Source organism: Homo sapiens, chromosome 4 (assembly GCF_000001405.40).
Source record: "Homo sapiens chromosome 4, GRCh38.p14 Primary Assembly".
NCBI classification, from domain to species: domain Eukaryota; kingdom Metazoa; phylum Chordata; class Mammalia; order Primates; family Hominidae; genus Homo; species Homo sapiens.
This window is the reverse complement of record NC_000004.12, coordinates 59,033,976-59,047,812: the sequence shown is the minus strand read 5'-3', so window position 1 is coordinate 59,047,812 and position 13,837 is coordinate 59,033,976. Positions and strand designations below refer to the sequence as shown.

General features: G+C 32.5%; 1 long non-coding RNA gene across 2 annotated transcripts in view; it reads right to left on the bottom strand.

Moving 5' to 3' along the window:
* Positions 1-853: 853 nt before the first annotated feature.
* LINC02429 (long intergenic non-protein coding RNA 2429) overlaps positions 854-13,837 on the bottom strand; it is a 62,678-nt gene continuing 49,694 nt past the window's right edge. The window contains exons 2-3 of one of the 2 annotated variants that reach the window (NR_133941.1): positions 7,122-7,226; positions 854-1,390 (exon numbers count right to left, since the gene is read on the bottom strand). This is a non-coding gene — a long non-coding RNA (long intergenic non-protein coding RNA 2429). The remainder of the gene's footprint in view (positions 1,391-7,121; positions 7,227-13,837) is intronic. The other variant, NR_133942.1, reaches the window with a different exon arrangement.

Below are 13,837 nucleotides of genomic sequence, written 5' to 3'. Positions count from 1 at the left end.
GGAGGGCATTAGAAAAGAATGTTCAAGCAAAATTACCTAATGCTGGTGTAATATAAGTATAATATAACATAAACTCAATATTGTCTTTCATTTTTGTAATTTTATATACATATTTTTTTTCTGCATGGGGCAGGGATATCACAGATCACATGACTGTTGGAGGACATTTAATCATTTTACTCAAAATTTTGTGGATAATACGAAACAGGTTAAACATTCATTCCTAAGGTGTACTGAGCAATGAAACAAAGGCAATCTGTAGAAAGCGCTCATAGAAAATGCCTGAAGTATCAATTTCTGCACCTATTTCTTAAGTCTGGAACACATCAGAGCATAACTTACCTCCTTAATAAGATTCTGACATTTTTCTGAAGAGCAGAAACTGATTTTCATATGAATTTAATAGTTAGGATTGATTGATCTTTTACAATTAACAGTATTGGGGCAAACTCAAGTGACTGGGATAATCAACCTAAATTATATTAAAACTGAGTTGGACATAGCTGCATTTCTAGGCACACTATTATTCTTCCCCCATGTTATAATTAAATAATTAAAATTATTCCCTTTTTCATCAAAATGATAAATGACAAAAATAAGGGGAAAGAAAGGAAAAACAGCAGAAATCAACCTTCCATTTTTCAGCATGAAATATTCTTGACACAGGCACAGCTGCTGCTTCTGGCAAAGCCTATTACAAATGCAAGTAAACTCATTTTTCCCTACAAATAATATTTTCATTAATTTCACAGTGTTTCAGAAATAAATCACATTGCAGTAGATCCTTTGGAGCTTCAAAAAAATAAAACTGGCTTTCTTAAACATCAAGTTAAATTATTGACCACAGCAAAGGTATGTTGATCATTAGTTTTTATTTCATTATAAATTATTGCTTTTCCTTATTTCCCCATAAAAGTGATGTTATTATTACACTTGTCATAATCACTTATAATTATTATCTCATTTCTTACATTATAGTTTTTATCAGAGTAAGAAAATTGGGTGATGCAGCAAAATTAACCATTTTATATTCAATAATGTTGCCACATCTGCTCATGTAATATCTCTCTATAAAATTCAAAGTATTAATACGTCAGAGGAAAGAAAAAGGGTTCTGAAGGCAGAGAGGTGTTTTAATCAGCGTTCTCCAGAGAAACAGAATCAACAGGATGGATGGATGGATACATACATGCATACATACATATTTACCATGACAAACTGGCTCACATAATTATGAATGCAGTGAAGTCTCATGACCTGCTGTCTCCAAACTGACAGCACAGGAAAGCTGGAGGTATAGCTACAGTGCAGACCAGAAGGCCTGAGAACCAGGATCCTTATCATACGTCCCCATCCAGGTCTGAAGGTCCTAAAGCAACAGCACCAACATCTGAAAACAAGACAAAATGGACATCCCAGTTCAAGTAGGAAGCAATTTTGCACTATTCAGGCCCTCAAATGATTGTATTATGCCTGCCACCACTGGTGAGGGTAATCTTCTTTATTCAATCTATCAATTCAAATATTTCTCTCTTCCAAAAACACCCTCACAAACACACCTGGAATAATGTTTTACCAACTATCCAAGCATACTAAGCTCGGTCATGTTGACATACAAACTTCACCATCTCAAGGTCAAGTTCAAATTCCTATTCCACTATTTGTGTGACTTTTGGCAATTTACATAATCTGTATTAATCCTCCTACATTTTAACAGGAAGAAAAGAGAAGGAAGGATAAGACAAAAAATACAAATATCGATAGATTTGTGTTATATCTTTTGGATATTGAAATAGTTCACATCTATTTGTTTAGTTTTTATTTTTGCTTTTTACTGTGAAGTAGTATATAAAATCATTTTTTGAGAAAGAAATAAGATTTATTGGAGGTTTGATGATACTTTAGGAGGATTTAACACTTGCAAAAAGTGAAAAATAAAAACATTCAGGCAAATATACTTGTTCAGTGGGATCGACGGTCTAGTTAAGACTGTTAAGAATCTAGAGTTGTAAATATGCTCAATTAAGTATATAGATGTTAAATAATAATATATGTTAAATATTCTTACAGTATTTATATTATATCATAAATGCTCAGCCGGCCAATTGTGGGCAAGACAATGTAGATAGTTGGATTATCCAGGCTTAGCGTTTTGTTATGTAATGTAGTGAAAGGAAAAAAGGGCAAGTGAATTTGAAATTTTGGCAAGAGAGTGAGTGACAACATCATGGTGAGTGTATCAGAAGAACTGTGGGGACAGTAAAATAAATCGATAAAATACCGATCCACATAAATTTCATGTGATTTGGAATGGGCATAAGTTCAGCAAGAAATTCAGAAAAGAAGTAGAAATGTAAGGTCACAGGGCAAAAATAATTCAGGATTTTTTTTGTGGTGGGAAGTATAACAATGAGGCTCATGAATTCAGTTACAGGCTAAAGAGAAATTGCATCATAAATGGTAGATAGCAATTGGTCACAAGTCATGCAAGTGTTCACATATGGGTGAACTCTAGCAAAAAGCATCACTTTTAAGGAGCATTACTATAAGTTTTGAAAAAACAGACTTGAGTACTTTGTGTCCTGATTGAGTATAGGTTTCGAAGTCAAAAAAACCTAATTTGATGTATATCTCTGACACTTTCTTGCTTCGAAAACTTTAGGAAATTGCATGTTTTCTCTCAACCTCATTGTTCTTATCTCCAAAGTGAAGGTAGAGATGGGGGAAGATATAGACAGATTAGGTTATATCTCCTAGGTCATATATCACATAAGTGGGTAAAGACTATGAACCTAGATTTTCTAAATTCAGATTCATTGTGCTTTCCTTTATATCACAATAACCTATGTTTAAATATCTAGAAAAAGCAATAAAGAATTCACAATTCATTTACTGGGTTTGGGGAATTCAGACAAGATTTATGTTAGTGCTTATCTCTACCAGCTGTCTTTAAATCGCAAGGCTAAACACAGGCAACAGTTTGCTTGGATTTTCCATTTTGGTTACTTAAAACATATTGCAAGAAGATTCTGCACCTAGGTTTAAAGCACAGTTTAGCTGGTGGCAAAGACTAACTGTTCTCTGCAAAAAATCTAAACAAGCACTAGACATTTCTTCAGTTTTCAATCAACTGTGCTACATGTTTAAAATATAGTTAAAGCAACAGCAAAACTAGAAAGATGGCAGAATGCAAAGGAGCACATAGGCAGGGCCACTTTGCCGCCAGAAAAGGAAGCAGATGGAGAATCATATAAGTAGGAAAAATTAAAGTCAGGCAGGGAAGGCAGCAGAGCCGACATGGTGAGAGCAACACCAGTGAGGAACACAGGCAGATTGCTAAGCTTCACTGCTGCTGCAGCAGCAAGACATTAGACGCAAGTCATGTGGGAAGAATTACTATCTGGAAGTTTTAAACCACATAGATAGAGAAAGACTAAGAATATACTAATAAAAGAGTCACTGCACAACACCTGTTTTACATCTTCGGAACTGAAGTTTTTCCCTCCCTGGTACTCAATGAATAAAGCTCAAATGCCTCACTCTAACTCCTTGTTAAGTATCTAAAATAAATTTAGATGTTAGTAAAATAACATAACCCCGAAGATCTGCACCGTCCCTGTTTATCCCAATATCCCTTATACATACCTTCCGAATTGTTGTAGGAATTTTTTCACTATGCTCTGAGCAAAATATACACATCAACCATTTAAATTTTTCTTAAGATTAGTTAACAAAAGTCAAAGACAAAAACATCAATAGATATTTGCAGGTATATTAACTGAATTGTCATGTAAATAACTGCTTCTGTTGGTGAGATTAAAGCTTAGAAGATTATATTTAATCTTCTACAAGATTTAATCTTGTATTAATACAAGATTTAGTATAGTACTCTCAAGCTTTAAGTTCAACAACTGGAAAAATATCCAGTAAAATGAAAGTAACTCAAATCACACTGATTTGAAGGACTAAAGACAACATCATTATCATCATCTTCACCATCATCTAAAACAAATTCCAAATGCAAGTACAGATTCTGTCTCTACCTTACACACTGTAGAGCACATTGTTATATCTTTAATTTCCTTGTCAAAAATATAGATAGAAATTGATTCTCTCTTTACACAGAATATGACACCAAAAAAAAAGCCTTCTAAGATTTTCCAACTAAATTGGGTAATATGTGGAATGATTTCTTCTCTGATTCCATTGAATATAGAATTGAAGTTTCTACTTATCTAGTGAACACAAAAAACCAGAGCAAAATATTCCCTTGTGGCTTGTTATATTGTTCTACAGAGTCTATTCCACTATTGTGACATAAATGTTCATTTCTAGTAATATTGATTTTTCTAGCCCGTTTTGCTAATTACAGAGGGAATTAACTATGACAAAGCACAATTTTGCAATTGTCAACTGATAAGCAACCAAATTTGAACTTTGTTCAGGCCAAGAGAGAAAAATGAATATTATATATTGATTTTGGTTTTTTGCTAAACACTATAATACTTCCTTCTCTAAAGCCCAAATCACTATAAAACATCAATTTAATACTTCTTTAAATCTTGCTATTTTGATTGTTTACAACTAACAACAATTATTTTGCCTGATTTACACAGAAAGTGAGATAATCAAATTTAAAGTCTGAATTTTTTGTTATATGCATGTGTAAACATATATACACTTAAAACCATCTCTATGTCCTTTTTCCAACTTGTCTCAATGGAAGAGTCAGCCTTGTTCTAACAATTTTTAAACCTAATTTAATATTTTTTGATATAATTTATCCTCTCTCATGTATCTAAAATTTCTCTTTTCTTCATATATATTTCAGTTTATAAATATGACCAAAGCATCCTTATCTCAAATCAATATCCACCTTCTGAACTCACCTTGACATATAGTAAAATAAACAATAACCTCCAGTTGAGAAAAGAGTATGTTACTAGAATAGTAATGGACAACCAAGAAATAATCCCTAGTAAAATTTTTGCCTTTATATTTAAAATATAAAGAATCTTTAGCAATAATTGAAATCAAAAGCTAGGAAAAATTACTATTTAGAAAAATACATATTTTTATGTATGTATGAGTTTAACCATTTTTATGTATGTATGAGTTTTACATATGAGTTTAACCTCATAAAAAATACCAGGTGGATTCAGTTACACGGTTAGAGAAAAATGCGTATGTGAGTATATAGCTATAGTCTCTGGGGAATCTTAAAAATAGTAACAAAAATGATCCCATGTAAAAATAAGTTATATATTTTATAGTACAAATTTTACTGAAAAAATAGTATATTGAAAGTTAAAGTAAGAAGTAAAAACCAAACAAACAAAAAGATGTAGGTAGTACATTTTCTATGACTGATGGCTCATTTGTTAACTGACAGGATATGTTTGTGTTTATTTACAAATTAGTGATAAGATATTTTCAATGTATTGCTGAGCTTTTGATGATTAATCTTGAAATGAGTAAAGGTTTGCCACAAGGTGAATTGTCTAACTTATCATGACTTTACTCTGTATGTTACATATCATTAATATTTAATAAAAGAAATAATTCAAGAAAATAGAGTCACCTTGGAAAATCTCCATATCCAAAGTAGCTTATTATTTTATACATTTCTAATAGTGATATAAAACTGTACTATATTAACTCATGCTTATATAGAGTGAGGCTGATGAGAGAACTGTTATGTAGACTATGCAAATAAAGCTTTACACAAATATTAGACATAAAAGATATTTCATATATATGTGGTTTGCAAAAATTTGGATTAATTATATAGTTAAATTTTTGATTTTATGCAAACTTTTTAAAAATTTGTAGGACACTGAAAGACTATCATGTATCATTTTAGTTAGGATTTGTTTTTTACTGAATGAAATTTTTGAATTTTTCTGAGCCCTATTAAATAATCCATGATTCATTACTCAATAAATAACATAAATTCTAATATTATCTTCCTGAAACATCTGGGAATGTGGTCCTTTAGACAACAATTGTGCATAAATAAAAGTAATATTTTGAGAGTTGGTATTTGTACTGGTAATAATCTGTTTTACACATCAGAATAGCAACAAGAAAATACCTACTATATAATTCATAGGCCTATGTCTGTCCTCCCCCTTGACATGCTTTCTTTGAGAGAAAAGACTGTAAAAAAATGTGCTGCAGATTGAGTATTCCTGCTCCAAAATCTTAAACTTTTTGAGTGTTGACATGATGTCACAAGTGGAAAATTCTACACATGATGTCTTTGCTTTCTGATGGCTCAGGGTACAAAAACTTTGTCTCATGCACAAAATTATTAAAAATCTGTAATAAAGTTACCTCAGGCTATTTGTATAAGATGAATATAAAGCATAAATGAATTTTGTGTTAGAATCGCACCCCTTCCCCAAGATATTTCATCACATATATGCAAATATTCCACCCCCACCCCCCAAAAAATCTGAAATCTGAAACACTTTTGGTCCTAAACATTTTGGATAAGGGATACTCGCTTAACTCATCTTTCATAGATAAGTTACCAATTCATAAGCATAAGATTATAAGCCAAGAACTATGGCAAGAAAATTGACAAAAATCCATAACTTTGTGGTGTTTAAATTCTGTGAAACAGGCCCGGATATGAGACAGGTAAAATATGCAGTACATTAAGTTAGATGAGAATCGGGATGAGTATTCTGGAAAAGTTTGTGAGATTTTTTTGGATACATATATGTCTATGTTTATAAATTATTGTGAAGGACAGAGATGAAGACATTTAATTTGAAACTAAGAAGCACGTTTAATTTGATGTGACCCAAATATCAACAAAGTGATTTAACGTTTCTATTGTTATTTTCTGTTATCTCTGTTTCCCACCAGGCAGTTTACTTAGCAGTTGCTTTTTTTTTACTATATTTTCAGTGTTTCTTATCCATCTTGTCCCTTACTTTAATAATAGCTGATATAGTTAGAATTCATTTATATTATTTATTGATTTATATTAATTATTGATTATGCATTTCACTATTATCTACTGGTAACTACAGTCTGTCAAGTGCTATTTTAGGTCTTAGATAAGTAATAGTAAATGAAATAGAAAACACTCTTGCTATTTTGGAACTCACAATTTAGGTGAAACTGTATGAAGACAAGTAAAGTCATCTTCCAATAACCCTTAAAAACTTACAGGAACTGCCGCTGTTTAATGTTGATAGAGTGGGTTCTCAGCTCTGAAAGAATATTTATTAAAATGCGTTATCACTCTTAGTTTTTTATTTTAGCTAAAAATATTCACAAGATTTTAATCATTATAATTTGAGAAGAAATACTGACTATATTTCACAAGTTATAAGTAAGGTATCCTAATTTTAAACATAACTCTAATTATTTTAGATTACATTTTTGTATTTGAAATTGTTTCTCATAGCCCCAAGATTTTCTAAGCACCTATTTTATATGACTTGCCACATGCTAGGTCATTATTGTGCTGCGCTTTGGGTAGGAATTATAATTAGTAGCATAGGCTCTATAGACGAGTTCCGGAGTATGACTGAGTAAGAATCCAGGCTCTGCAGTTTTACCAGTTGTGTGAACATAGGCAACTTCTTTAAGTTCTATTGACTACACTTTTCCCATCTACAAAATACAGATACAATTAGTTAAATTAAAATAAAAAAAGAAGTTTTGGAGAATTAAGTGACATAATACAGGTGATGCAATTACAATTAGCTTGGTACTTGTCAAATCTTAAATGATTATTGGCAGTTCTTATCACTAGAAGATATAAAATTATTAAACTGTTTTTAATGGGTTTATAATATAATTGAGAAAATAATATGAATGACATGAAGCAATCAGCAAATGATAATTGCCAGAATATATTAAAGAGAAAAATTATGTGGTTAATATAGTACTGGATTGACAGAACTGTGCACTGGATTGACAGAACCGTGATTAATACTTGCACTTTTTTAGGTGTGGTTATTTTAGGTAAGGCTTAAGCATACACATTAATTTGCTAGGGCTGCCATGATAAACTACCACAGACTGGGCGGCTTAAACAACAGAAATTTATTTTCTCATACTTCTGGAGGCTAGGAAGTCCAAGATCAAGGTATTGGCATGTTTGGTTTCTTGAAGCCTCTCTCCTTAGTTGGAAGTGGCCACCTTATTAATGTGTTCACAGATGGAAAAAGGAATATTCATTTTCCTCTACTCTCAGTATTTCTCACACCAAATGTGTGGGTTTTCTACACATAGCAATTATCCAACTCTTTGTAGACACCAACTGAATGTCTTATAATTTAATTCAATTTTGACACTAAATAGTTGGAGTTAGTGCAAACCCCCAGGTTACAGGCTTAGCCTGAAAAGACCGCCCCCACTTCAGACACCAGTCATAAGTAGTAAGTCCCCACATTATCTGCACTTCTGTCTGACATGGATACAAATTAGGGGTTTCACAACTCCCTTCTTGTTTGGTAATTTGCCTTAACAGCTCACAGAATTCAAGGAAATGCTTGATTTACCCTAATCATATTATTTTATTTATTTTTATTTTATTTTATTTTATTTTATATTTATTTATTTTTTTATTTATTTAATTTTGAGATGGAGTGTTGCACTGTCCCCCAGGCTGGAGTGCAGCGGCATGGTCTCGGCTCACTGTAAACTCCGCCTTCCGGGTTCGAGGGATCCTGCCCCAGCCTCCCTAGTAACTTGGACTACAGGCATGTGTCACCACACCTGGATAATTTTTGTGTTTTTAGCAGAGACAGGATTTTACCTTGTTGGCCAGGCTGTTCTTGAACTCCTGACCTCAAGTGGTCTGCCCACCTCGGCCTCCCAAAGTGTTGTGATTACAGGCATGAGCCACTGTGCCCAGCCCCTAATCAGGTTACTACAAAAGATATAATTGAACAGTCAATTGCTGTGGATGCATTCACCAATACAAAAGCCCTCAAAATGCTATTTAAAGTTTTTTATAATCCTTTATGTAGGAACAATTAATAAAATTTTTTTATCAATTATTGGACTCCGTTTCCAATCCCTCTCCCTTCCCTGGAGGTGAAGTAGTAGGACCAAAAGTTCCAACCCTCTAATTATATGATTGATTGCTCTGGCAACCAGCCCCCATCCAGAAGGTAACTTGGGGCCCCAACCAGTGTTCAACTCATTAACATACAAAAAGACACTTATGACCTCAGAGATTCCAAGGGTGTTAGAAGTTTTTGTGTCAGAAACTGGAGACTAAGAACAAATATTATAACACAAGATGCTCCTATCACCATTATTATTTAGGAATTTACAAGTATTTTAGAACCTCTGTGCCAGAAACTTGGTGAAGAAACCAGACATATATTTCTTATTATGTCAGGTATGGCCATCCCTAAGTCTGTGCCGTTGTGTTTTAATCTCCTCTTCCTAGAAATACACCAGCCATATTGGATTAGGACTCACACATAGGACTTCATTTACCTAATTGTCTCATTAAAGACTGTCTTTAAATTTCTGTCATTCTGAGGCACTGGAGTTTAGAATTTACACATATGAAATTGGCAGGAGGACAGTTTGGTGTCTCAATTTTATCATCTCTAAAATGCAGTTGATATTATACAAGCTGCAAATGTTATTGCAAAGATTTATTTTAAAAAGGTATGTAATGCTTTTAGCACACTGAGTATGATTTAGTGCTCAAATGTAGCTGTGTCCGTCAGTATCACAAAAGGGAACAGAAGACACATTCAAATGTAAGTCAAGAAGGGTTTATTTACAAAGGGATAACTGCAAATAAGTGAGGGAAAGGGAATCCAGATTTCTAAGGGAAACCACAAGGAATGGTGTGTCCAATAGCTCCAGCACTGTTAGAATCCCAAGCCATTAAGGCATGAAAAAAGTGGAGGTTACTAAAACCTAGAATTGGTCAATGTCTTGCAAAGGAAGCTAACAACAGGAAAGGTAACTTTTGATGTCAGAAAACAGCCAGTTCAAAGCAACTTTGAGAGAGGAAGTAGGGGAATAATTATCCTCATGTAAAGTTTTGTATTCCTTCAGATTTCTTTACAGGTTCTATATTAGTAGAACATAAATGTAACCCAGACACTTAATGATCTGGTTTATACATGTCAGTCTCCTAGGGGAAGACAGTAGAATGGAGAAGAATAAAGAGTATTCCTGGAGTGTCAATTGGACATTAGGTAGTAAAAAATGTTAGGTGAAAGTTTGAGAGAAAAACATCTTTAGTATGTTTTTTTAAGGAAAACAGAATTGTTGCAGGTACCAGGATGATTTACCTTTAGTTACTCAGTTCTTAAAAGAAGGACGATAAGTTTAATCCTGGAAATTATGAATACAAAAATAGTAAATAAGAGGGCACCAATGTTAATTATATGATGATTGGTCCTATTGAATAAGACTAAATTTTAAAAAATAAAATAAAAATCTGTGGAAATCATACTCCATAATGATGCAAAGACTAGGACAATTTTTTAGCATAGCAAAAGTCCTCAAGTTCAAAATTGCACAGTGTTAAAATTTATCAGAAAAATCTACTAATACAGACCAACTCCAATTCTAAAATGGGAAATGCACACAAATAGCCTTCAAAGTTAATAACCATTTTAAATGTGAAAAAGAATACAACACATTCAAACTTACCTTATTATAATTCTTCAGATCTTATTATTTATTGTTATGAGATTATTAGACAGTAAAATATAAATCAGAATGTTACTGTCACTTGGGAATAAAAAACATACACATGGGTTTTTGATTTTGTAACGATTGTGTGTAACAATTTTGTCACACATATGTTTATGTTTTATTCCGAAATGGCGGTGACATTCTGAATCATATTCTACTGCGTACTAATCTGTCAATGGGAGCTAGTTAAGCTATAATATGCATAAATACTTAAAAGGAAGCTATACATGTTTTTACCAATTATTTTCTTATTATAGTTGTGTGTGAATTTATAACTAAGCACTAAAATTAGAAATAGCTCAGTAATCTTAGAAAACTGGAAACACCTAAGAAACCTTAATATATTAGTTCACATTTCAAAATGCTGATCTTTATGACTTATTTTCTTGACTACCTACCCCAGTCAAAATACAATTCTTTAATTAAGGCAAATATGCAAGGCCACCTCTGAATTTGTATTCCCCACTAACATGGTCTTACAGTTGTAGGGATATAAAAATTAAAGATGGTAGGGTTGATATGGGATCTTAGATAATGAAGAAATGTAGAGTTGCCTGTGTATTTCTCTATCCTTTATTAATCTGTCATTTCCCACAGTAATGTAAGAATCTAATTGTTTGTGCTTCCATAAATCACTCTTCTCTGGATATAACTAGAGAATTTTCTGTATTACTGTCTAAACTCTTACTGCTAAGGAAGTCATTAAATACATCTTAGAGCTATTATCTCCACACCTCTACAAATCAACACATTGATACATACTGATTCATAAATTAAATTGGTAGTTATCTGCCTAAAATAATATGTGACTCCAGTTAACACAGAAAGAAAAGGGAGAAGAAGACTAGAAAGAGCCTTAGCCAGTAGTAGAGTTTTGAAAAAGTTTCAGCCAGTCCAACAGAGAACTCCAGCATAGATTGCCCATGAAGAAGTCATTTATTGGACAGAAATTCTGTGAAAATGGGCCAGCCACAGGTGGAGGATATGGGCTACCTTCTTTCTTGCAGTAGGTTCACTAGAAGGAAGCTCTGAGATGTGCCCCTCCCAAAGACTGCCGCAAAAGCATAGTGATGGCTAAATATAGTATCTAAATTGTTTTTATTTACGTACTACATATCAAGCAAACATATCACAATGAAAACACGTATCTTTTTCTGAGAAACAACAATGAACACCGAGCTTTGTACCCACACACAATTTATGCATGCATCTTCTATCATTTTCCAAATCTTCTATTAATCCCACCAAACGCTGGTATATCAGCTTCCTGAAATTTGCAGAGATGTAATCAAGTATGGCACAACTCAGAGTAACACAACTAGTTTTCTCATTAAATGATCAGCAGTGGCAGTATTTAACTGTTTCAGGCTGCTCCTGTCCAAAACATTATATGCACTTATTTTATTTTAAATATTTTGTATCCAAAAAAAATTTTTTATTAATTTTAAATCATTTTGTATCCAGATTTCTGTTCTTGAATGGAGAGTGTAGATTAAATTGATTTTTTTTAAAAAAGATGTTTTAAAAATAAGCTAATTCTCTTTCTGATTTAACAGTTGGTTAAAAGTGAAACTCTTCAAAACAGACATGAACAAGGATCATCCTAGTCTGGGTAAGATTTTGTAACACTGGATAGTAAAGCTTATTTCATTTTCCGTAAATTGTGTATATTCTCTAAGTTCTAGGATGAATATAAAACCAGTGATAAGTCACGATATATATTTTCCAGTTAATTATGATTACAAAATATACTTTTCTTGGACTGTGTTTCCAAACTCCCAGCTTAAGAAAAACAATTATAAGCAGAATTCTCCAGCTACCTGTAGACACTCCTGTCCCTGTTGCTCATTATGTTCCATTTGTATAGGGAATCTTATCGTTCCTTAAAGTTCCTTTAAAAGACCTAGCTATTTTCCAAATTTGACTATGAAATTGCTCTTGTAGTCTCCTGGGATCTTTTTGAACAGGTGTCTCTTTCTTGCCATGTAGGGTGAACATTGCCTGTCATTTACTGAATGGGCTCTTAATAAAAATTTTGTATAATTTAGCAAAATACCACCCACACTGTAATATTATACATTTTATATTTTTCATATATTCATTAAATAACAAGTTTTAAGCTAGCTATTACTCAGAATAAGATGTGAAGATATTGAAAAGATTTACATGATTTGAAACACCTTTTCTTAATAAGAGTTTTACTTAAATAAAATCCACTTAGCAATAAAGTCACCATTTTAAAACATACAATTCACTGAGGGTTTTTTACTTTTGCTTTTTTAGTATATTTACATAGTTTGGAGCCATCACCGCTATTTAATTTTAGGACGTTTTCATGTTCACAAAAAGAAGCCCTGTACTCATTATCTCTCAATCTCCACTGCTTCCTTCTTCTAGTTCCTGGCTAGCACTAATCTACTTTCTGTTTCTAAGAATTTGCCCATTCTGGACATTTCATATAAATTAAATTATGTAATATGTTGCCTTTTGTGACTACCTTCCCTCATTAAGCATAATGTTTTCAAAGCAATATTAAAAGTTTTAATATTATTCACTAATGAGTAATATTTAATTTTATTAATGTTTGAAAACCACATTTGTTTATCCACTATTTAGTTGATGGTCTTTTAGGTTGTTTCCAACATGGGACAAGTGTGTTGCTATAGAATATGTGTATATTGTGTAAACATATGTTTTCATTTCTCTTGAGTATATATCTATGAATAGAATTGCTGAATCATATGGTCACTCCATATTTAACTTTTAAAGGAACAGCCAAACTGTTTCCCAAAGAATCTGTATCATTTTACAATGCCATGACCAATCATGGGGTTTTCATTTTCTCCATAAAACTTACTATTTTCTGTTTTGTTTCAGTATGAGTCATCTTTTGGATATCACGTGGCATCGCTTTTTTGGTTTCGATTTGTAGCTCCCTAATGATTAAACATAATTGAACACATTTCTCATGCACTTGTTAATTATTTTTGTGTCTTTTTTGGATAAATAACTACTTAAATTCTTTGCCACTTTTTACTTTTCTTTGGTTTTCAGTTATTTCATTGTAATTGTTTTTTATATACTGTGGATACAAGTCCCTTATCAGAACATATTGAATTTGCAAATATATTCTAATATG